This window comes from Homo sapiens, chromosome 2, assembly GCF_000001405.40.
Source record: "Homo sapiens chromosome 2, GRCh38.p14 Primary Assembly".
Lineage (NCBI taxonomy): Eukaryota > Metazoa > Chordata > Mammalia > Primates > Hominidae > Homo > Homo sapiens.
The window spans coordinates 185,018,427-185,043,842 of NC_000002.12; positions in this window are offsets into that span (position 1 = coordinate 185,018,427).

Here is a 25,416-nt window from a genome sequence, read left to right on the forward strand (position 1 = left end):
TACTAAAATGTGATATCCATGTTCCGATCTTTGAAAGTTTTCTGTCTTGAATTCTATTCTGTCTGATGCTAAAATTACTACTGTTCTATCAGATATTACAAATAGTGGAAAAAATAGAGTTTTAAAATATTCTATTTGATATTATAATTACTGCATTTTCTAGGTTATCTTTATTGCTTTAGTTTTCTGTTCACTTCAGAATTTCTTTTGAAAGTACTATATTAATTTTTAAATTTTATATTGGCTAAAATCCTATACTTTTAATAGACAAATTTAACTCATATGCATTTATTATGTTTACTGATACAATAAATTGAATTATATCACTTTTATGTTTTTATTTTGCTTGACTCCTTTTTTTGAGATATGTTTTACTAGATTTTTCTTGCTTTGTTTGTCTACATATTGTTCTTTTCCTCAAGTGGTTGTAGAAATGCATATTATTTCTCCTCTTTAGTTAGTTGTTTTTGGCAACTTAAGACATGCATTTTAACTTGTTTCTTTAGCAGTCTGTAGAATTAATGTGTCCTCCCTACATATAATACTAGTAAAGAACATTAGCAACATTTTTAGGAAAATATTGGCCTCTTTGTCCTACTCATTCCCATTTTGAGGTCATCTGGTATTTCATCATAAAATTATTGCTTTTATAAAAAAATTAACAATTAGGTAGGCTTAACAGCTTATTTTCTCAACATTATTTCTTGTACCTCAGGTTTTTTTTAATACTTTCTAAAGTATCTTACTTAATTATAATATGATACTGTGAAAAATATTATTACAGAAATGTTTATAAAATATGAAAATCGATGTATAATCACTCTTAGTCAAATGAAACTAAGAATCCATTGGGGTTGAGTATATGAGTAGTATACTAAACTGCATGTATTTGTATGTTTGCACACATTTATCTGTATTTTTAAATAATGTATGTACAGTAGTGTATACTTAAGAATAACAGTAAAATAACATTAGTTGTCAAATATGTTACACTAAAATCCTTGACTAAAAGATCTAGAGAAATGGAATAAATCCATGTTTCAATATTGTTCAAAACTCTTATAACTGTACTAGATAAATTTGATGTGTTTTCCTTTAACTTAATGCATTTGGGTATTGTCATACATATTTTAAATTTATTTGTAAAATATTAATTCTATACATGTTTATCTAAGATTATGTAATTTCTTGGGAATTTTTAAAACATAATCAATATTGACAGAGAGTTAATCTAAATATGTATCCAAATTCACTATTACATGTAACATAAAGTCACATTAGGTCAAGCACGTACTGTTGAAATTATACAAGAAACATGATAAAATGCCTATCTCTGGGAAATATTGGCAATACGTTATTTTAATTTCAATTTTTCATAGGAAAGATAAAACCACATTAAAAGGCAATTTAAATACAGTTTATTTTAAATTCTCTATAATTTTATTGAAAGTTAAGATATGAAACTTTCAACATCAAAAGCCCTCTCTCTTTACATGATTGTAAAACTTAATAGTTCAGATAAGATACCATTTTCTAAACATTTTTATCTTTCTGAGAAAGAAAATGAGTAAGGGAATTTCAATAAAGGAAATTGACTAAATAAGAGATAAATGACATAGACAAGAGAATATCTATAGACCTGGTTTAAAAGTAGGATCATTGGAAATCTTTAATATTCACATATATATTAAATCATATAATAATATTATTAAATAATTAAAATGACTACACTAGAATATTAAAAATGTTGTACATACATAATAGGATAGGAGCAGGAGACATTTATGCGATGTGTAACTTTTGTTAAAGGGTATTTTAGAATGAAGAATAAATCTCGATCGTTATCCATTCTGCACTGCTGAAAATCTGAGTGAGGTCTACCTCCTTTGTATGTTCATATCAATAGATGCAGAGAAAATGGGCTTACAAGCACTGGAAGTTGGTAAAGATTTCAACCAACACATAATGTGATATCATAAATTACTCGATAAGCACCCTAAAGTACATATAAATAGCCTAGGATTTCTTTTTATTCAGAAGAGAGGAGCTTCTATTCTATTCTATTCTTGAGAATATATCTATGTTCAGATATACAAGAACTTTGGTTAATCGACCTCTTTACTATCCAATGACATTGCCAAAGGAGATTTCAAAGTCATTAGAACAATGATGAAATAGACAGAATTACTTTTAATGATAGTGGCACTTTGTTGGTGTGCACATGATAAAAGAGCTTATGACACCAAATTTAGCGCCTAAATCACACGTGCAGTCTTTTGGTATTTAACAGCTATTGAGAGTTTAATTATGAAAACAATGTGAAATTGGTCTAGAGTTTCAGATAAATTTTAAATCATGTTCTCAAAATTCAATTGCAAACAGGAAGCCACTGATTATCCACCGGTGGCAATCAATCTTTTTGTTTTTGACACAATTTTCAATACAATAATTTTAATGGCATAATTGAAGAAATTAAGAGATTCAAAGGCAACTCAAAAAGAGTTAGCATTAATTACAGTAAAATTAACTACTAAAGTATAAAAATATATTATAATGTCTACCAACACATCTAAGTTAATGCACTATATGTACTTGGTTGTCCTTCAACATTTTTATGTCACTGCTTGAATTAAATCATTAACATGCCTTATTTCCTTAATGCAAAACTGGACTTCAGATTGAGAAACTTGTTTTCCTGATTAACCAGAATTTCTAAATGATCATGAACAAAGATAAAAATAACCAAAGTCAGTTGCCTTATTTATTCCTCACATTTTCTTGAACATTCTTTTGAGAGTTAATATAAATGTTAGTACAAGGAGCAGTACCCATCTAAATAGAGTGATTTGAAGTGAAGTGATACATCTGCCCAAAAACGTGTCCCAACTTTTGTTTTCTGATAGTTTAATTGCTTTTGAATACTTTGAAATGTGAGAAAACTACTATGAACTAGTTTCAAAGGTTAGATAGATCAGAAAAAAACATGGGTGAAGGAGGCAGGACTTAACTATTTTAACTGACATGATATGAAAAGAAAAAGTTACCTAATATCTGTTTTGCAAAACCCTGTATTTTATAACATTGGACACTGATAGTAATGACTTATGGAAAAAAAAGCATTAAATGCACACTGTTCCAAAATAATTAAACTTTTTAACTAGAGTGCTAATACAAGAAATAACAAGTCAAGTAAACTATTGGTAAAATATTGACTTCTTAAATTCTAATTAATTAATAGAAAATTAAGAACTTTACTTATTAAAGTTTAGGGAAAATGAGAAATGAAGACGGGGAAATAATAAAGAATTGAGGTTGCTCAATTACCGGGACAAGGATACATAGGCAAAATCAGCAAGAATTACACATTAAACATTTACAAAACAGAATAAACCAAGATGAAGGATATAGAGTGATTGGGCATTGTGTTTAATACTGGGTTTCTCTGGAGAGTGATGTGTTCAGCTACACTAGAGTATTTTGTCTTCAGCTGCTGGTTCCTGATTGCACAAAATGTTAACATGGTAGCATGTGAAACACCAGGACTTTTGTATTATTCTAATATTTTCTTAATATAAATTGAGTATGAGCAATTTAATGTTGACCTATATTAGAATAGATGATAGGATTTATTTTAAAAATTAGTCAAAGTCAAGAGGCATAGGTGCTTGTAATTCTGATAATGCCAAATTCCTTACTATTATTTTTGTATCAAGATTTCCTCTAGCAATATATGATAATGCCATTTTCAACCTTGACAAGAACGTACTATAAGCTTTCAATAGCTTTATTTTATTTTTTTTATTTTTATTTTTATTTTTTTTGAGAGAGAGCCTTGCTCTGTCATCCAAGTCTGGATTGCAGTGTCACAGTCTTGGCTCACTGCAACCTCTGCCTCTCGAGTTCAAGTGATTTTTCTGCCTCAGCCACTCAAGGAGTTGGGATTAAAGGTGCCCACCACCATGCCCATCTATTTTTTTTTTTTTTGTATTTTTAGTAGAGATGGGGTTTCATGATGTTGTCCAAGCTGGTCTCAAACTCCTGGCCTCAAGTGATCCGCCTGCCTCAAACTCCCAAAGTGCTGGGATTACAGGTGTGAGCCACCGCGCCTGGCCTCAAGCTTTCAACACCTTTATACTTTAAGAATGCTTTTGCTGAATATAAAATACAAAATCCTCAAGTTACGCTTTCTTTCTCTGATGATCTAGTAGATATTGCTACACTAATTTCTGAAGATAAATGATTTGTAGGAGAAAGCTGAAACCAGACTGCTTCCTTTTGTAGGTGATTTTTTATTCATATTAGTATAGCTATTCAAAATTTATTTGTTTACATTTGCTTTTGTGTCTATAAATGCCATCTGTGAATAGAGATAGCTATTGAATAAATGGTGCTGGAAAATATGGATAGGAACACTTTTGAAAAATCCTTAAGCATTTACAAAGAACATATTAGAACTTATAAGTGAGTTAATCAATGTGGCAAGATGTAAGATTAATATATAAAATTTAGTCATTCTATTTACTAGCAATACACATTTGAAAATTGAAATAAAAATAGGACACATAATAGAACCAAAAATATGCAATTTTATGGATAGACTTGTTTAACATCCTTAAAAAGGAAAAAAAGAAACACTAGGCTTCATACTGAGCTAATTTGTCTAATGTCCTCAATGCATTACTGTACTTCACATTGAGTAAGTTTTACCCTCCTAATTGGAAAAAAATTCTAGAGCATTGTAAAGAAGGGGAAATATAACCAAAAGTCAATTGTCATATTTTATTCTTATTTTTTTTTTTTAGTATAAAAGCAAACATCACTGCAAGGCACAGTAGCAAACAGGGTGATTGAAATGATGTCAATTGACAATACCTGAGAGATAAATATGCCTAGGCACATGTCTTAAACTTGATTTTTCTGATAGTCTTATTGCTGCTTAGTTTGTTGGTGAAGTTGATGAAGGCCTACGTTAAATAAGAATGTGCAATTTAGAAAGAATATTGTGAGAATTCTTTTTTTTGCAAACTAAGCTTGAGAGTAAAATAGAACAAAGACTTAAAAAGAGGAGATAGGACTTGATTTTTAGCAACGTGAGATTGAAAACAAACACAAAAACAAAAAAGTCTGTATTTTTAAGTAACATGAAAAGTCACAGTGCACTTGTCATATAGGAGAAGAGAGTGAAGATGATAATGATGCATACACAGTTGCTTTTCAGTGGAGCTTTTTTTCTCTGAAGTCTAGGAATACTTCCTTACGTCTTTTTCTCTATTAAACTTTAACCCTTATAAATAGACATATTATCTTGAGAGAGGGAGAGGAAGGCTGTGAAGATCCAGCACACTTTAATGTGATTACTTTCTGTTAATAAATTTGGCTTCTCAATTCTTTTTCTGGTTGTTCTCTAATGCCTTCAATAGGCAGGGCTTTTGTTCAGATAGTGCTTTATTTTTGTTGTTTTATTAGTTATTTGTTACTATTGTTATGGTAATTTATCAAGTTTCCTATAGTTCTTTTTGCAGGTGAGTCTAGTATCTGCCAACTTAGATATCACAGAAACATCATTCCATTAGCTATATTAAATTCATAGAAAAACATTTGATCATGACACTCATCTGTTACATGGGTGTATTTCTTCTGATAAACGTTCTTCATCTATTAATAGTCTTTGATATCTTTCAATTTACACTTTTGTGGTGAATCCTTGTATGATATGATGCTATACCAGTTCCTTTTGTTATTATTTTTAACTGAATTACTTGGATTTTTTTCTAAATCAATGATTTGCTAGAATATCCCAGTTTGGGAGGCAGCGAGGTATTAGGCACTGTCCTAAGATGATTTGTTTTCATCAAACAAATAAATCACTTATCTGGAGCCACAGACTTTACTGCTTTCTGCAAGTGAAACCAGTCTAATGGTCCCATAGACAGTTTTTTTTTTTAATAAACGTAGAAGTTGACCCTTTAGGTCTTAAAGCCATCAAAAAGTGGGCTGAAGACATGAATAGAAAATTCTCAAATGAAGATACACAAATGGCTAGCAAACATATGAAAAAATGCTGAACATCACTAATGATCAGGGAAATACAAGATATACAAATCAAAATCACAATGCAATACCACCTTACTCTTGCTAGAATGGCCATAATCAAAAAAACAAAAAATAATAGATGTTGGTGTGGATTTGGTGAAAAGAAAACACTTTTACACTGCTGGTGAGAATGTAAACTGGTACAGTCAATGAATGGATAAATGAACATATATATATATATATATATGTATATATATATATATGTATATATATATATATATATATATACACACACACACACACACACACACACACACAATGAAATACTACTCAGCCATAAAAAAGGATGAATTAATCCATTCACAGTAACCTGGATGGGATTGGAGACTATTATTACAATTGAAGTAACTCAGGAATGGAAAACCAAACATCATATGTTCCCACTCATAAGTGGGAGGGAAGCTATGAGGACCCAAGGGCAAAGAATAACACAATGGACTTTGGGGACTCAGGAGGAAAGGGCTGGAAGGGGGTGCGGGATAAAAGACTACAAATTAGGTCCAGTGTATACTGCTCAGGAGATAGGTGAACCAAAATCTTATAAATCACCACTAAAGAACTTACTCATGTAACCAAATACCACCTGTTTGCCCAAAAAACCTATGGAAATATTTTTTTAAAGAAATTTACATTTATTTTATCTGAGTTCCTTCTTCACGAAAGGTCCCCTAGTTTTCTCAGAAAGTGTCAAAGAACTGACACTCACCAGATCATCACATCCAGATAATGCAATGCAGGACCCCTCATTCATCATGTTTGCTTCCTTGCCCCTCTTGAGTTTCTGTTTTTCTACACATTGTTATATTTCTTCCCTCCTATATAAACCCCTAACTTTAGTTGGTCAGGGGGATGGATTTGAGACTCATCTCCCATCTTCACGGCTCCAGCACCCAATTAGTCTTCTTCCTTGGCAAAAATCATCATCTCAATGATTGGCATTCTTTGTGGCGAGCTGCCCGAACCCCTGGTATTTTGGTAACACAGTATGGTTTGTCTATATTCTTACATAAATTCGTTTCCTATAATAAATTGAATCCCATCAAGTTTGTGGAATACTCACATCAACCCTGTTCACCCTACTTCTAAAAATCAACTGTGGCAAAAAAGTTATGTGTCTTTCCACATTAGACAATGCAGTTTATTTAGGAAGTGTATCTGTTGCTGACTGGGAGGTCTTTGATATCTGCCACTGCATGACATTTTCATCAAGATTGTTCTGTGAGGTTACTTTCATTCCACTTACTATTTTATAATTTCTTCCTGATCTTGTATCTTTTTGATAGGATTTACATGTTGCAATCTCAAATTGTACCTCTTTCTAGTTTTGTTGAAAAAGCATGTTGAGGATGCTTGTTTATGTTCATGTAATAATTCCCTTTTTGGGCATAATTTCCATAAGAGATAGACCTGAATATTTATGCAACATGGACATTCTGGAGCCTGATATGTTCTGTTTCTGTTTTGATTTTCTTTTGTTATCTGCTTTGTTTTACATTTTTTTCATGCCATAAGTATAATTTAACACTCCCATCTCAATTTTTTTAGGGCAGGCTTTTTATTTATTTATTTATTTATTTATTTATTTATTTATTTATTTATTTAATTTTCGAGATGGGGTCTCACTCTGTCACTCAGGCTGGAGTGCAGTAGCATGATCTCGGCTCACCACAACCTCCACCTCCCGAGTTCAATAGATTCTCCTGCATCAGCCTCCCAAGTAGCTGGGACTACAGTTGCACACCACCACACCTGGCTAATTTTTGTATTTTTAGTAGAGACAGTTTCACCATGTTGGCCAGGCTGGTCTCCAACTCCTGACCTCAGGTGATCCACCCTCCTTGGCCTCCCAAAGGGCTGGGATTACAGGCGTGAGCCACCGTGCCTAGCCTTATTTTACTTTTTTATTAATTATTATTTAATTTACAGTGAAACATACTTATACATATTTATGGGGTAGAATGTGATACTTCAACGGATGTATACATTGCATAATGATCAACGTGGGGTAATTACCATATCTATCACTTTAAACATTTATCATTTCTTTGTGGTGACAGCATTCAAAATCTTGCCTTCAAGCTATCATGAAATGTGCACTACATTATTATTTTCTGTAGTTACCCTACTGTGTAACAGAACATCGGAAATTATTCTTCTTTTCTAGCTGTAACTTTGTACCAAAATTTCCTGGTAACCACTCTGCTCCTTGGTCCCTGGTAACCACTACTCTATAGATTCCACGTATGAAAGAGCTGATGTGGTGTTTGTCATTCTGTGCCTGGCTCACTTCTTTACACATAATGTCCTTCAGGTTCACCAACGTTGCTGTAAATGACAGAATTTCATTCTGTTTTGTGGCTCAATAATATTCGCATTTTCTTTCCCAATTCATCTGTAGATGGGTATTTAGGTTGATTCCATATCTTTGCTATTGTGAATAGTGCCGCATCAGTCTCTTCAATAAATGGTGCTGGAAAAACTAGATAGCCACATGCACAAGAATGAAACTTACATACAAAATGAACTCTAAATGCACTAAAGACTTAAATGTAAGACATAAAACTACCAGAAGAAAACATAGGAGAAGCACTTTGTGAAATTGTACTGGGCAAGAATTTTTTTAATAAGATCTCAAAAGTACAGGCAACAAAAACAAAAATAGACAAATGGGATTACATCAAACAAAAAGCTTCTGCACAACTAAATAAACAATAATGTAAAGAGACAACCTATGGATGGGGAGAAAGTATTTTCAAGCTATGCATCTGACAGCGGTTTAATGTCCAGATGATATAAAGAGCTCAAATAACTCTATAGGAAAGAGTCTAATAATCCAATCAAAATGGGCAAGAGACTTGAATAGACCTTTTCTAAAAGAAGACATAAAAATAACCAACAGATATATGAGAAATGTTCAACATCACTAATCATCAAGGGAATGAAAATAAAAATCATAACGGATTATTACCTCATCCAAGTTTGACTGGCCATTATCAAAAGGACAAAGAAAAAAAATGCTGGCAAGGATGCAGATGAAAGGGATCTCTCATACATTGTTTGTGGGAGTGCAAATTAGTGTAGCCACTATGAAGAACAGTATGGAGCTTCCTCAGCAAACTAAAAATAAGAGTACTGTGTGATCCAGAAATCCCATTCCTGGGTATATATGCAAAAGAAACAATTAGTGTTTCAAAGAGCTATTTCTATTTTTTAAACATGAGATATGTATTAGTCCGTTTTCATCCTGCTGATAAAGACATACCCAAGACTGGGCAATTTACAAGAGAAAGAGGTTTAATGGACTGACAGTTCCTTGTGGCTGGGGAGGCCTCACAATCATGGTGGAAAGTGAAAGGCATCTCTCACATGATGGCAGACAAGAGAAGAGTGAGAGCCAAGCAAAAAGGTTTTTCCCTTACAAAACCATCAGATCTCATGAGACTTACTCACTACCATGAGAACAGTTTGGGGGATCCGCCCCCATGATTCAATTATATCCCACTTGATCCCTCCCACAACATGAAGGAATTATGGGAGCTAAAATACAAGATGAGATTTGGGTGAGGACACAGAAAAACCATATCAAGATGCTTATTTGAGGCATTTTCCTTTTTTCACAATTGTAATTTTCCCAAACTGCAATAAATATTTTGCACATCTTTTATAATAAAATTTCTTAAAATAAAGCTTACAGAAGTAGAAATATTAAACTAAAATTTTAGACTTAAAGAACAAAATGCCTACCTAGAAACATTATGATGGTAATTAATTTCACTTACTGTATGAAACACCTTTAACATAAACACATGATATTTTTTGCATGTGATTTGACTCCAATTCTTGAAATAAATTTCTCAACTGTCCTTCAAAGACCTGCTCATTCTGTTCCCAAAATTGCAGAAATAGGTATGTATGAAAAAAATGATAACTTGCTTTTTAGTCTTCTCTGCTTAGGAACATTGACTAAATTTGATGCTTAATATAACTTTATATTAACTTTACTTATTTTCTATTTTTCAATCAGCCTGTTTTCTATTTTTAAACCATCTTCCTAATCTGTGGTCATGCTTAGTGCCAATATCCTAAGGCAATGAATATGTCTCAAATCCAAAACCAAGCAGCCACTCATTTTTGCAAACTTCTTACATGCACAAGTCATGTATACTCAGGAACCCCAGGGTTCATTGTCACTTGACAGATTTTCCTGCAGGACCATTTCAGTATTCTTGATTTTATACTCAATAAAGGTATTCTGACAAGAAGTAAAAAACACTTGAAGCATTCTTTTTTTTTTTTTTTTTTTTTTGAGACAGAGTCTCACTCTGTCGCCCAGGCTGGAGTGCAGTGGCACGATCTCGGCTCACTGCAAGCTCTGCCTCCCGGGTTCACACCATTCTCCTGCCTCAGCCTCCCGAGTAGCTGGGACTACAGGTGCCCGCCACCACGCCCGGCTAATTTTTGTATTTTTAGTAGAGATGGGGTTTCACCGTGTTAGCAAGGATGGTCTCAATCTCCTGACCTTGTGATCCACCCACCTCGGCCTCCCAAAGTGCTGGGATGAAGCATTCTTTTTTAAAAATGTACCATATACTAATATCATATTAAATGGAAAGTTGAGAAATACTTTCTTGGCACATGCTTATACATTTAAAATTTTTATTACACATTTACAAATTATAATTGTATATATTCCTGTGATACAAAATAATATGATTTTTGAATAAAATGTGGAATAATTTAGTTAAGTAAGCATCTATTACCACAAATATTTAACATTTTGTGACTAGAACATTTGAAATTTAGTTTCTTAGTGATTTTGAAGGTACAGTATTCAATTATCAACTATATTCACCAATTTTGCAATTGATCTAAAAAAAACACAGACTTCTTTCTCCCATTTAACTGAGGCCCTGTATCTTTTGAATATCATCTCCCCACTTTACCCATCCCTCATCCTCTGAAAACCATCAATGTACTCTCTGCTTTTATGAGTTTAATAGGATTGCTGAATCCTATGGTAATTCTACTTTTAGGTTTTTGATAAATCTTCATAGTGCCTTCCATAATGACTGTACTAATTTACATTCCCACCAACAGTGTACAAGGGCTCTCTATTCTGCAACCTTACCAACACTTGTCCTCTTTTTGATACTAGTCATTCTGACAGGTATGGGGTGGTATTTCATTGTGATTTTAGTTTGCATCTCCCTAACGATTAGTGATTTTGAGAATTTTTTCTTGTATCTGTCTTCTGATAAGAAGATTCTTTTTTTTTATTATACTTTAAGTTTTAGGGTACATGTGCACAACGTGCAGGTTTGTTACAGATGTATACATGTGCCATGTTGGTGTGCTGCACCCATTAACTCTTCATTTAACATTAGGTATATCTCCAATGCTATCTCTCCCCTCTCCCCCTACCCCACAATAGGCCCCGGTGTGTGATGTTCCCCTTCCTGTGTCCATTTTCTCTCATTGTTCAATTCCCACCTATGAGTGAGAACATGCGGTGTTTGGTTTTTTGTCCTTGCAATAGTTTGCTGAGAATGATGGTTTCCAGCTTCATCCATGTCCCTACAAAGGACATGAACTAATCATTTTTTATGGATGCATAGTATTCCATGGTGTATATGTGCCACATTTTCTTAGTCCAGTCTATCATTGTTGGACATTTGGCTTGGTTCCAAGTCCTTGCTACTGTGAATAGTGCCGCAATAAACATATGTGTGCATGTGTCTTTATAGCAGCATGATTTATAATCCTTTGGGTATATACCCACTAATGGGATGGTGGGGTCAAATGGTATTTCTAGTTCTAGATCCCTGAGGAAAAGCCACACTGTCTTCCACAATGGTTGAACTAGTTTACAGTCCCATCAACAGTGTAACAGTGTTCCTATTTCTCCACATCCTCTCCAGCACCTGTTGTTTCCTGACTTTTTAATGATCACCATTCTAACTGGTGTGAGATGGTATCTCATTGTGGTTTTGATTTGCATTTCTCTGATGGCCAGTGATGATGAGCAATTTTTCATGTGTCTTTTGGCTGCATAAATGTCTTCTTTTGAGAAGTGTCTGTTCATATCCTTTGCCCACTTGTTGATGGGGTTGTTTTTTTCTTGTAAATTTGTTTCAGTTCATTGTAGAATCTGGATATTAGCCCTTTGTCAGAAGAGTAGATTGCAAAAATTTTCTCCCATTCTGTAGGTTGCCTGTTCACTCTGATGGTAGTTTCTTTTGCTGTGCAGAAGCTCTTTAGTTTAATTAGATCCCATTTGTCAATTTTGGCTTTTGTTGCCATTGTTTTTGCTGTTTTAGACATGAAGTCCTTGCCCATGCCTCTGCTCTGAATGGTATTGCCTAGGTTTTCTTCTAGGGTTTTTATGGTTTTAGGTCTAACATTTAAGTCTTTAATCCATCTTGAATTAATTATTGTATAAGGTGTAAGGAAGGGATCCAGTTTCAGCTTTCTACATATGGCTAGCCAGTTTTCCCAGCAGCATTTATTAAATAGGGAATCCTTTCCCCATTTCTTGTTTTTGTCAGGTTTTTCAAAGATCAGATAGTTGTAGATATGCGGCATTATTTCTGAGGGCTCTGTTCTGTTACAAGGGACGTGAACGACCTCGTCAAGGAGAACTACAAACCACTGCTCAATGAAATAAAAGAGGATACAAACAAATGGAAGAACATTCCATGCTCATAGGTAGGAAGAATCAATATCGTGAAAATGGCCATACTGCCCAAGGTAATTTATAGATTCAATGCCATCCCCATCAAGCTACCAATGACTTTCTTCACAGAATTGGAAAAAAAAACTACTTTAAAGTTCATATGGAGCCAAAAAAAGAGCCCGCATTGCCAAGTCAATCCTAAGCTAAAAGAACAAAGCTGGAGGCATCATGCTACCTGACTTCAAACTATACTACAAGGCTGCAGTAACCAAAACAGCATGGTACTGTTACCAAAACAGAGATATAGACCAAGAAGATTCTTTTGAGAATTTTTTGAGAAATGTCTGTTCAGGTCTTTTGCCATTTCTTAATCAATTAGGATATTTGTTTTCTTTCTGCAGAGTTCTTTGAATTTCTTATATATCTTATATATTAATACTTTATCTTGTACATATTAGTACTTTAGTTTGCAAATATTTTCTCCCCACCTATAAGTTGTCTCCTCACCCTGTTACTTGTTTCCTTTGGTGTGCAGAATCCTTTTTATTTTGACGTAATTTCATTTGTCTATTTTGCTTTTGTTGCCTGCAGTTTTGGGATCTAAAAAAATTTTGCCTAAACCAATGTCATGTGGTTTTCCTCTGTTTTATTCTTATAGTTTTTATGCTTCAGATCTTATGTTTAAGTCTCCAATCCATTTTGATTTGATTTTTATATGGTATGAGATAGGGTTTCAATTTCATTCTTCTCTATTGAAATATCCCATTTTTCCAACTCCATTTATTGAAGAAACTGTCCTTTTCCCATTGCATATTCTTGACACATTTGTTTAAAATTAATTGACCATAGTTAGAATCTCACTTGTGGACTCTTTATTCTATTTTATTTGTCAATGTGTCTGTTTTTATGCCAGTACCATGCTGCTGTAATTACTATTACTTTGTAATATAGTTTGCAACAAAATAGTGTGATACCTCCAGCTTTGTTCTTTTTGAATGAGAGCCTTGGCTATTTGTTTTTGTGTGTGTGTGGATCCATATGAAATCAATCTATATCTATACCTATGAAAAATGATATATCTATACCTTTATATATGATATTTTTATATATGATTTATAAATGATATTTATATATGATATTTTCTATAGCTATGAAAAATGACATTGGAGTTTGAATAAAGATTGCATTGAATTTGTAGTAAGCTTTGGGTAGTATAGTCATTTTAACAATATTAATTGTTTTAATCCATAAACATACAATATTGTTTCACCTATGTATTTCTTCTTCAATTTATTTCATTAATGTTTTATAGATTTTAGTGTTTGTGTCTTTAAACTTTTTGGTTAAATTTATTTCTAAGTATTTTATTTTTTTTTTAGCTATTGTAAACGGGATTATTCTCTTGATTGATTTTTAAGAAAGCTCGTTTTTAGTGTATAAAAACACTGCTGATTTTTATGTTGATTTTATATCCTACAGCTTTATTAAATTTTTGTCAGTTCTAACATTCTTTTGATGGATTATTTTCAGTTTTCTTTATATAATATTTATTGTCAACAAATAGTAACAGTTTCACTTTTTCTTTTCCTATTTGGATGCATTTTATTTCTTTCTCTTGCTTTATTGCTCTGTCAAGGACTTCCAATACTATATTGAATAGAAGTGGCAATAATGGGCATCCTTGTTTTGTTCCTGATCTTAGAGAAAAGGGTTCCAGATTTTCACTGTTCAGTATAATATTAGTTGTGAGATTATTATATGTGGTCTTTATGGTGTTGAAGTACATTCCCTTTATACCTTGTTGAGTGTTTTTATCATGAAAGCATGCTGAATTTTGTCAAACACTTTTTCTGCATGTAGTGAAATGATCAAATGATGTTTCTCCTTTCATTCTGTTACTGTTCTGTATTACATTTATTAATTTACAAATTTTGAACCATCCTTGTTTTCTAGTAATAAATCCCACATGATAATGGTGAATGATCCTTTTAATCTGTTGTTGAATTTGGTTTGCTAGTATTTTGTTGATAATTTTTTGCATCTATATTCATCAAGTATATTGGCCTGTAGTTTTCTTTTCTTATGATGTCCTTGTGTGGTTTTGGTATGAAGTTAAGTTAATGCTAGCATTGCAAAAAATTTGAAGTATTCCCTCTTTTTTGATTTTTGAAAAGGTTTATGGAGAAATCGTATTAGTTCTTCCTTAAATGTTTGGCAGAATTCAGCAGTAAAAGTATCAGATCCTGAGGTTTTCTTTGATGGGAGACTTTTTATTACTGCTTCAATCTTCTTATTTATTGCTGGTCTACTGAGGTTTTCTGTTTTTTTTTTTTTCTTCATGATTCAGTCTTTGTCAGTTGTATGTGTCTAAATATTTATCCATTTCTATGAGATTATTCAACTTCTAGCATCAAGGTTATCCAATTTTTGACATATAATTGTCCAGAGTAGTCTTTTAGGATTCTTTGTATTTATGTGGTATCAGTTGTAATGCCGCCTCTTTTATCTCTGATTTTATTTATCTGAGTCTTTCCTCCTTTTCTCTTGGTAAGTCTAGCTAGTTTATTTCCAAACTGTGATGTTTCCACTCAAGACCACTGTAACTAGTTCATCAGTATTTTATACTGGAGCAGATGTCAAGATGATAGTCTTTTTCTAATTTAATATAAAGAACATTTGTCTTTGCTGTAATAGCCTTTCCTAGTATGATGATTTTGCTTATACTATTATTAAGATTGCCAAGACTATATTCCCCCTTTTAATTTTATTTTTTGTCTTATATTTTGAAAGTATCATTAAAATTTTGTTTTCTAATTTTTGTTCAATGTACAATAGTTTGACAAGATTCTTCAAGAATAAGGAGTCTAATGGTAAAATATTTAGAAAATGTTGTAGATTTTGGACTCACCTTAAATATCTGCAATGCTGTGTGAATGAAGCCTTTTTCAATTGGTTAAAATGATGACTTTTTATTTTCTAAGTTCAAAACTAAAACATTTGTTTTTTGTTGCATTTGCAATATGGAAAATAATAGGCTGAATATATTTGAAATTGATTAAAATGTTTAATAGAACCATAGTAAATTCCACACTACAGCATCTGAATGTCATAACTCTAAGTGATCACAAACTTGATACTTGTTTTAAGCAAATTGAGGTAATTAATATGTCTAAATTAGCTCATTACATTACTCTGTATGATTGAAACGTTTATAATTAAAAAATAGAATGGTAACATAATATTTATTGTAATGAAGAGAAAGGGCCAAAGATATTTTCAGAAATTTTGTTTTTGCAAATAAGAATTTGTTGGTTTCACTCACATTAAATAACTATTTGGACACTGTTATTTGTAAAAATTAATTTTTATATCCTCTTTTTTTTTAACCGATTATTTGAATTTCATTTTTTATTCTTAAGTACTAATTTATACTATACATTGTTTTCTATGTCCCTTACGAAACTCTTATGATGTCTCTTTCAATTGTTTCTTTGCACATCTTCACTTAGATATGTGTCCTGTCTCACTAATGTGTATTGAACTTCTAAAGAATAAGATCTATGTTTTATCATTTTGCTCTCACACAGGAATCTGCACAGAGAATAATGTAGAAATAATATGTAAATCATTAACCAACTAGCTATATATTTATATATTAGTAGTTCTTGCTAAAGAGCTCCAAGCTTACTCATATTGGCAGTTTGGCTTCATGGAGGAAAATTAAAAACTGCGACTACTTAAATGAAGGCTCCATTTACTAACTAGTCTCTATTTACTCACTGCTGCCTGTTGGTATGATTGTTCTAATGCTGAATGCATATAAATAGTAATGACCCTGCATGTGTTTTCAAAATTTGCTATTTTTCAGCACTCATTATTTTGTTTAGCTTGCAGTGAAATTGCAAATAATTATTTTAATGTATATATGTTAAATTTATTCTAGTTTTTACCCATTTTTGCCTTCAAACAGTCTTTTAAAACGTTGTCTTTTTGAAGCAATCCCAAATAACTTTGAAAGTGAGTTTGTGATTTAGACAGAGTGATATTTAGATGGAGTAGAATATTCTCTGCATTATAAAACAACTTTTCTCCTAAATTCATTAGAACATCATATTCCTTTTTTCTTTTTAAGAAAGGCCTCATGACAATAGTGGTTTTGCACCCAATGCCATTAACCATGCCAATCATCAAAACAGTAGTATTTTTAGCAGACTGATCCCCTTTTATATTAAAAAAACATTATAAATAAAGGTAGTGTCTATATGTACCAGTAACATAGACATTTAAAGCAAATGTGTGGTAGATTTTGTTTAGTTTCAATTGAAAATTGGTATCAGAATATAGGGCTACTAATTCTATTGATGTTTACTTGTCTTTCAGTTATTATTTTATGTTTCAGATAGTTGATGAAAAATAAACTAATTTCACAGTAAATCATAACTAAGGTTTCTTACATATCAAACTACTATTAAAAATAAATCTAATATAGTGCTTTATATTCATGAATTATAGATCATATCAGAAGTAATAATTTTGAAGCTATTGATGATCTTTTTTCTCTAAGGCAAGAAGTCTAATCATTTTGGTGGCGTGATCACCTTCTGGCCTAGTAGTATAAAATTTGTGGGTTAGAATTATACTTTATGTTTGAATTGATTAACTTTTGTAGATAAAATTTTGCCTTGTTGTTTGAAACAGGAAGCCCAACTCTTTATTTTTCATAAAAATACTCCTTTTTATAAAGCGGTTCTTATGGGAACGAAAAAAATTGTATTAGAACATAGTCTAATAAGTAGTGGGTTAGTGATGACACATTTTAAGAAGAGACTGACAGTCATTTGATTTTTTATGTCTGAAAATCCTGTCAACACCAGCATTTTTGGACTATACATGGTCTCTGGACTTCAGTCAGAGCCATCTGTCTGAATGGCAAACTGCCTATTCATAAATTAGTTGGACCATTTTATCAGGGCAGAAATGCCAGAGAATAATAACTACAAAAGAGCAGGTTATACATTTTACTAACTGTTGCCGCATCTATAGGAAACTCTTTCACTGTTATATTTTTTGTCGTAAACAAGGATGACACCTAATCTACCTAAAGTGAGGCCCTAAGGAAAGGCAGGATGAAGACATTTTAAATTACCTATGGTATTGAAACAAGTCATTTATCAATCTTGAGCTGAAAGTAATAAGCAGGGATGATTTGTGAAGTGTATATTCAGATGAACAAGTATAGGACATACTCAAAATAAATTTGTACATATAAAATAACTGTAAAGTGATGGTTATAATCTTAGTACAACAGCAATTTCTTTCCACATGGGACAACATTAAGAATTATAGAACATATTTTAAAAGTGAGTAGGAGGCTGGGTGTGAGGGCTCACACCTGTAATCCCACCACTCTGGGAAGCCAAGGTAGGCAGATCACCTGAGGTCAGGAGATCGAGACCATCCTGGCTAACAAGGTGAAACCCCGTCTCTACTAAAAATACAAAAAATTAGCCGGGCGCAGTGGCGGGCGCCTGTAGTCCCAGCTACTCGGGAGGCTGAGGCAGGAGAATGGCGTGAACCCGGGAAGCGGAGCTTGCAGTGAGCCGAGATTGCGCCACTGCAGTCCGCAGTCCGGCCTGGGCGACAGAGCGAGACTCCATCTCAAAAAAAAAAAAAAAAAAAAAAAAAAATATATATATATATATATATATATATAAAAATTAGTCAGGCGTGATGGCACATGCCTGTAATCCCAGCTACTCTGGAGGCTGAGGCAGGAGAATTGTTTGAACCTAGGCGGCAGAGGTTGCAGTGAGCCGAGATCATGCCATTGCACTCCAGCCTGGGCGACAGAGCAAGAATTCGTCTCAAAAACTAACTAAATAAATAAATACATAAATAAAAATAAAAGTGAGAAAGGGAAAAGGAAACTATGTGTGTGTGTGTGTGTGTGTGTGTGTGTGTGCATTTCTTTAGGACAAGAGTGTGTTTGGATTTTCATATCAATAACTTATTTGAAATAAATCACTCCATGTAGCATCAGTTAGATAAATTCTATAAATTAATATAACATGTATAATTTATAGTTTTTTTAAATTTTCTAACGATGAATTCACTTAAAAGATTATTTTTCTTTCATGTGTCTTCATAGTAAACAAAATTTGTTCATCTTTTATTACAAATAGTATGTATCCCACTTTCCTAATAGGTGAATTTATTTTACTTCCCAATAATACATTTAATTTTTCCAGGAAGTAAACAAAAATATATTGTGAAGTGTTCTATAAATTAACTGACTTCTTTAAATATTTTCCTTCTTGTGTTATTTTATAATGGATTTGATATTTTCATGCTTAAAATATTCTAAGCATCAAACTTTTTCTGTCAATTTACACACAGTGATAACATATTTAATACATTTCAAACTGTCACAATCTCTAAAAGCATAGAGCACATACCCAGTATAATAATGTAGGCTTTTAAAGGTGATTGGTGACAAAAGTATAAGTAGTTTTTGTACATTACAAAAATTCCTTCACTGATAATTAAAAAGTAAATTTTCTATATCATGAACAATGAAATAGCATATAAATGCTAATGGAAAAGAAGAAAGAGAAGAGACATCATTTTGTAATATATTATGTGCAATTCTGGCATTAGTCCATAATGAAAGTGCTCAACTGTTACTATTATGGGAGTTCTAGTACCCCTTCAATATCAATCAAATATTTGTACTATATCCTCTTTCGTCTTAATTGAAAAGTGCATCCTGTAAAGAAATAAAATGTAGTAGCATTGCAGATTCAGCAATATAATGTGAGGCTATCCCTTTTAAAAAATTAAATACCCTATCTAGAGTGACCCAGAAATTTTAATTTAATAAAATAATTAGCTTAACACATGAAGCTAATAACTTATGAAGGAAATTTATGATTCAATCTTCAGATCCCTTTTTATATATTTATTTTTATTATGCATTAAAATGTTCATTTTATAATGACTAGTATAAGCTACAAACTACTAATTGCTCTATGACAAATTTCCCAAATATGTATCACACATTAGATTATGTCAAAAGTGGTCTCATTTTGTAAGTATTTATTGATAACTGACTGTATTCACATACTTTAGGAATTGTAAGATATGTAGGAAAACAATGTAAGCACTTAAAGTCCCAATACCTTAAAGATTAGATAAAATTTATGCATGTTTATTACAAAATAAAACGTGGAACTTACCAAGGGGAGGATAAATTAAGTCCTATGAGATTCAAAAGAGGAAAAACAGACATCCAGCAGAAGAAAAGGAAAAAGAGATCTTCATGGAGGAGAATTTTATATTTGATTTTGATCTTGAATATATTATTTGGACAGAGAAACAAGGCCTGACTAAAAAGGAAAACGAAAAAATAACAGAAAATTTCAGCTACATTCCACCGTTTGATTATCAAGAACAGTCACAAGTGATTACATTTTACACCTGGAGAAGATCACAAGCATAGACAAATACAGACTCTGGGAAACAGGTACATATGGTACATATGAACACTGAGAGTAGAGAAGAAACAATAATTAATAAAAAATTAGCATCCCTAGCTATACAAGGTAATGTTAGAAGAATTTTATGCAGGTGATCAATTGTAAGAAATCATAGCAACAAAATCCCCAAATCCAGCTGAAATCTTGTCTAAATTGACTAAATCCCCACAATATCCATCAGGCAGAAAAAACAGTATGCCATTTTTCAGCACGATTGCTACTTACCTCAGATCAGTCTCTGCTGTTACATGTCCAGAATTCAGTGTTCAGCATTCAATATAAAATTACAAGAAACAGAGAAGTGCAAAAAAATTCCAACTCACTTTCAACATTTAAAAAACAAAATCAGACTCATAGAAGGATATAGATGTTGGAAATATAATACAGTGAATTTTAAGTAGCTATTATTAATATGTTAAAGGATCTAATGAAAAGGTTAGGAAATAGTCAGAATTTCATGAGAATTTTTAGAAAAACGGATATAATGAAAATCAAGTAGAAATGCTAGAAATCAAAGCTTGTAACAAGGATGAAGAATTATGTTAAAAGTTTCATAAGAGTACTCATCATATTTAAGGAAAGAATCAGGAAGCTTGAAGATAGGTCATTGATATGGTTTGCCCCTGTGTCCCTACCCAAATCTCACCTTGAATTGTAATCCCCATAATCCCCACATGTCAAAGGCAGGACCAGGTAATTGCACCAGGTAATTGTATCATGGGGGAGGTTTCCCCCCTTCTGTTCTCGTGCTAATGAGTGAGTCTCACAACATCTGATGGTTTTATATGCATCTGTCATTTCCCCTGCTTGTATTCACTCTGTCCTGCCACCCTGCGAAGAAGGTGTCTGCTTCTCCCTTGCCTTCTGCCATGATTTTAAGTTTCCTGAGACCTCCCCAGCCATGTGGATCTGTGAGTCAATTAAACCTCTTTCCTTTATAAATTACCCAGTCTAGGGTATTTCATAGCAGTGTAAGGATGGATTAATACAGTCATTAAACATTTTCTCTACTGAAATACACAGAGAAAAAGGAGTGAAGAAAACCAATAAAAGAGACATACAAAAGCTGTGGGACAATTAAGAAAAAAACTATTTTAACATGTATGTGATCAAAATTGCAAAAGTGAACGAAAATGGGAAGGAAGAAATATTTAAAAATATAATGACTGAGCATTTTCCAAAAATAATGAATAAAAAAACCCCCATCAAACTTTAGGTCCTAAAATCACAGTGAACCCCAAACAATATAAACAACAGACACATGCATGCATGTGCACACACACACACACACACACACAACACACCACCCAGACATTTCATTTTTAAGCTGCTGAAAATCAAAGATATAAAGAATATTGAAGGCAGCCAGACAAATATGACAGGTTACATACAGATAAACATAGGTTAAAAACACAGTAGGCTTTCATTGTAAAACCATACAAGCCCAAAGACAATAGAATGACCTTTAGCAAATACTTCAAGAAAAAATAATTTCTCAATTCAAAATTATGCTACGCAAAACGGCCTTGCAAAATGAAGGAAGGAAAGACTTTTCAGCCAAAGGAAAGCTGACAGAATTTACTGCCAGTTTATATGTGTTATAAGGAAGATTTTAAATATATATGATACTAAGTAGAAACAGATTTGCACCAAAATGATCTAAAAGGGTGCTAAAATATAAAAAAAAAATCCAAAAACTGGTTGCTTATACAACCCTAATGAAAATAACCACAGTATTCTAAAAGGAAACAAAGGGAAGAATGATGTGCCATTGTTTCTATGCAGAGAAAAAGTGGCCTCTGTCATTAAACAACTGTCATTCATTGGTAGATTTAGCATGTATGTTGGTTAAAAGATGAATTTCCATGTTCTTACTAAGACTTGAATGAGAAATGAAGAAAATGTAAGAAAGACTAGAACACGGAGAAATAAAGAAAGCATTGCAAAGGAAAAATATGGACAAACATAAAAAAAATACAAGGCAGTAGAGAAAACAGCTAATAGGATATCTTCATTAGCATGAGTGAAAAGACACAGAAAATAAGAAGTTAAAAAAACAAAACAAAACAGGTTTTATCCATACCATGAAAAGCCAAAAAAACAGACTAAGTTTACACTTCATTAGGAGGCACTTTGAAAGTCAATGAGGAAGAGGGCCACTTAAGTGATTGATTTGTAATCTTCATTCTTTTCAAATGTAGGTGTTTATCACTATAACATAAAGCTATAGGAAAAAATTCTTTCCCCTTAAAAGCCAATGGAGAAAACTGAAAGAAGTGACTCTTACATGGGGATACAAAGATATGAACATAAGAGCATAAGAAACATGATAATGCAAGAAAATGTAACAACTCCTAAGAAACACAATAATTCTCCAAGTAATAGATTCCAAAGGACACCTGTAAAATTTCTGAACAGAATTCAAAATAATGATATTAAAGAAGCTCAGTAGGATACAAGAAGCCATAGATAAATAATATAAACAAATTGGAAAAACAATTCAAGATGCAAATAAGAAATTCAACAAAGAGATAGTTATAATAATAAATAACCAAACTGAAATCATGGAACTGAATAATTTAATAAATAAAATAAAAAATATAATTGAGAGCTTCAATAATAGACTAGGTCAAGCAGAAAAAACAATTTCTGAATTTGAATATGGGTCTTTTAAAATAACCCAGTCAGAGCAAAAGGAATAAAAAAGAATGAAAAAAGCCAACATGACATACGAGACATAATAAAGTGACTAAATATTTTAATTTTGGGTGTTCTAGAAGGCAAAGAAGAGATCAATGGCATAGAAAATCTATTTAACCAAATAACTGAAAATGTTGTAATTCTTATGAGAGGTGTAGACTTTAGATGCAGGAAGCTCACATATCCCTGAATAGAAATGTATTCTTCAAGGTACATTACAGTTAAACTGTCAAAAGTCAAGAACAAGGAGTGAATTCTAAAATCAGCAAGAGAAAAGTGTCAAGCCATATATAAGGGAAACCTCATCAGAATAACAGCAGATTTATCAGTAGATATGCTACAGGCTAAAAGAGAATGGAATGATATATTCAAAGTGCTGAATGAAAAAAGCTGTCAGCCAAGAATACTGTACTCAGAAAAGCTATTCTTTGGGAATGAAGGAGAAATAAAATCTTTCTAAGACAACAAAAAACTGATGAAATTCATCACCACTATACCAGCCATACAAGAAATGCTTAAGGGTATCCTACACCCAGAAGTGAAAGGATGCTACCTACTATCAGAAAAACAGACAGAAGTGTAAAACTCACTGATACAACAGATACAAAAATGAGAAAGACAAAGGACTCAAATATTACCACTACAGAAAAATACCAAACTGTAATAATAAACAATAAGAGAAAGAGAAAGAAACAAAAGATACACAAAACAACAAGAAAACAATTTTTAAAATAACAGAAATAAGGCCTCACCTATCTATAATAATCTTGAATGTCAATGAATTATATTTCCCAATTCAAAGATAGAGACTGACCTAAAAAAAATGCATCACCCAACTATATGCTGCCTACAAGAATCTCACTTCATCTGTAAAGATATATAGAGACTGAAATTAAAGAGATAGAATGATATATTCCATGCAAACAAAACCAAAAATGAGCAGGAGTAGTTCTACTTGAATCAGATAAAACAGACTTTAAGTCAAAAACAGTAAAAGGAGAAAAAGAAGATTATTATATAGTGATAAATGGATATATTCTGCAAGAGGATAAAAAATTCTAAATATATATGCACCCAACACCAGAGCACTCAGGCATATTAGATCTAAAGAGAGAGATAGGCTCCAATACAATAATAATTGGAAACTTCCACATCCCATGCTCATCATTAAACAGATCATCTAGACAGAAATTCAATAAAGAAACATTTATCTTAAACTGAACATTAGACCAAATGGACCTAAAAAACAGAACATTCTATCTAGCAACTGTAGAATACAAATTCTTCTCATCAGCACATGGAATATTCTCTGGGATAGACGATATGTTAGGACAGAAAACAAGTCTCAACAAATTGAAAAAATTGAAATTCTATCAAGTGTCTTTTCAGACCACAACAAAATAAAACTAGAAACCAGTAACAAGAGGAACTTTGAAAACTGTACAATTACATAGAAAGTGAACAACATGCTTCTGAACAATCATTGGGTCAATGAAGAAATAAAGAAGAAAATAGGAAAAAATATTTTAACAAATGAAAATGTAAACACAAAATGCCAGAACCTATGGCACACAGGAAAAACAGTGCTAAGAGAAAAGTTTATAGCAATGCACACCTACATCAAAAAAGTAGAAAAATTTTAAACAACCACATGATGCACATCAGGAAATTAGACAAAACAAACCAAATTCAAAATGAATAGAAGGAAAGGAGTAATAAATATCAGAGCAGAACTAAATGAAATAGAGAACCAAGAAATAAATCTATGTATTTACAATCAACTGATTTTCAACAAAGACAGAGAATATGTGTTGAGAAAAGGAATTCCTCTTAAATAAATGGTGCTGAGAAAATTGAATATCCATATGCAGAAGAATGACAGCAAGCCTCTATTTCTCACCATACACAAAAATCAACTAAAAATGGTTTTAGGATTTCAACGTAAGACCCAAAATGATTAAACTAGTAGAAGAAAATATAGGGGGAAAAGCCTATGGACTTTGGGGTAGCAAATATTTTACAGCTAAGGACTGAAAAGTATAGGTAACAAAAATGAAAATAGGGAAATCAGACTATGTTAAACTAAAAAGCTACTGTCCAACAAAGGAAACAATCAAGGGAGTGAAGAGATATTGAATGGAAGACAATAGTTGACTGTAAATAATTTTGTGCCTTCTAAAGAAGCTAAGCAAAGGGAGTATATACTTACAGACTTAGTTGTAGCAACTTTCCTAATTACTATTGCTGATTGTATTAATTAATCTTGTGGATTTGATTTCTCAACTTGTGAAACTTTCTTTCACTCATGAAGCTCCCCCCCTCATCTCCTTTGTGATGTTATTCTCCAATACATTACAGCTTTACATATTTAGTCTCAACACTACAATTATATACATATTGGGTTTTTTTGTTTGT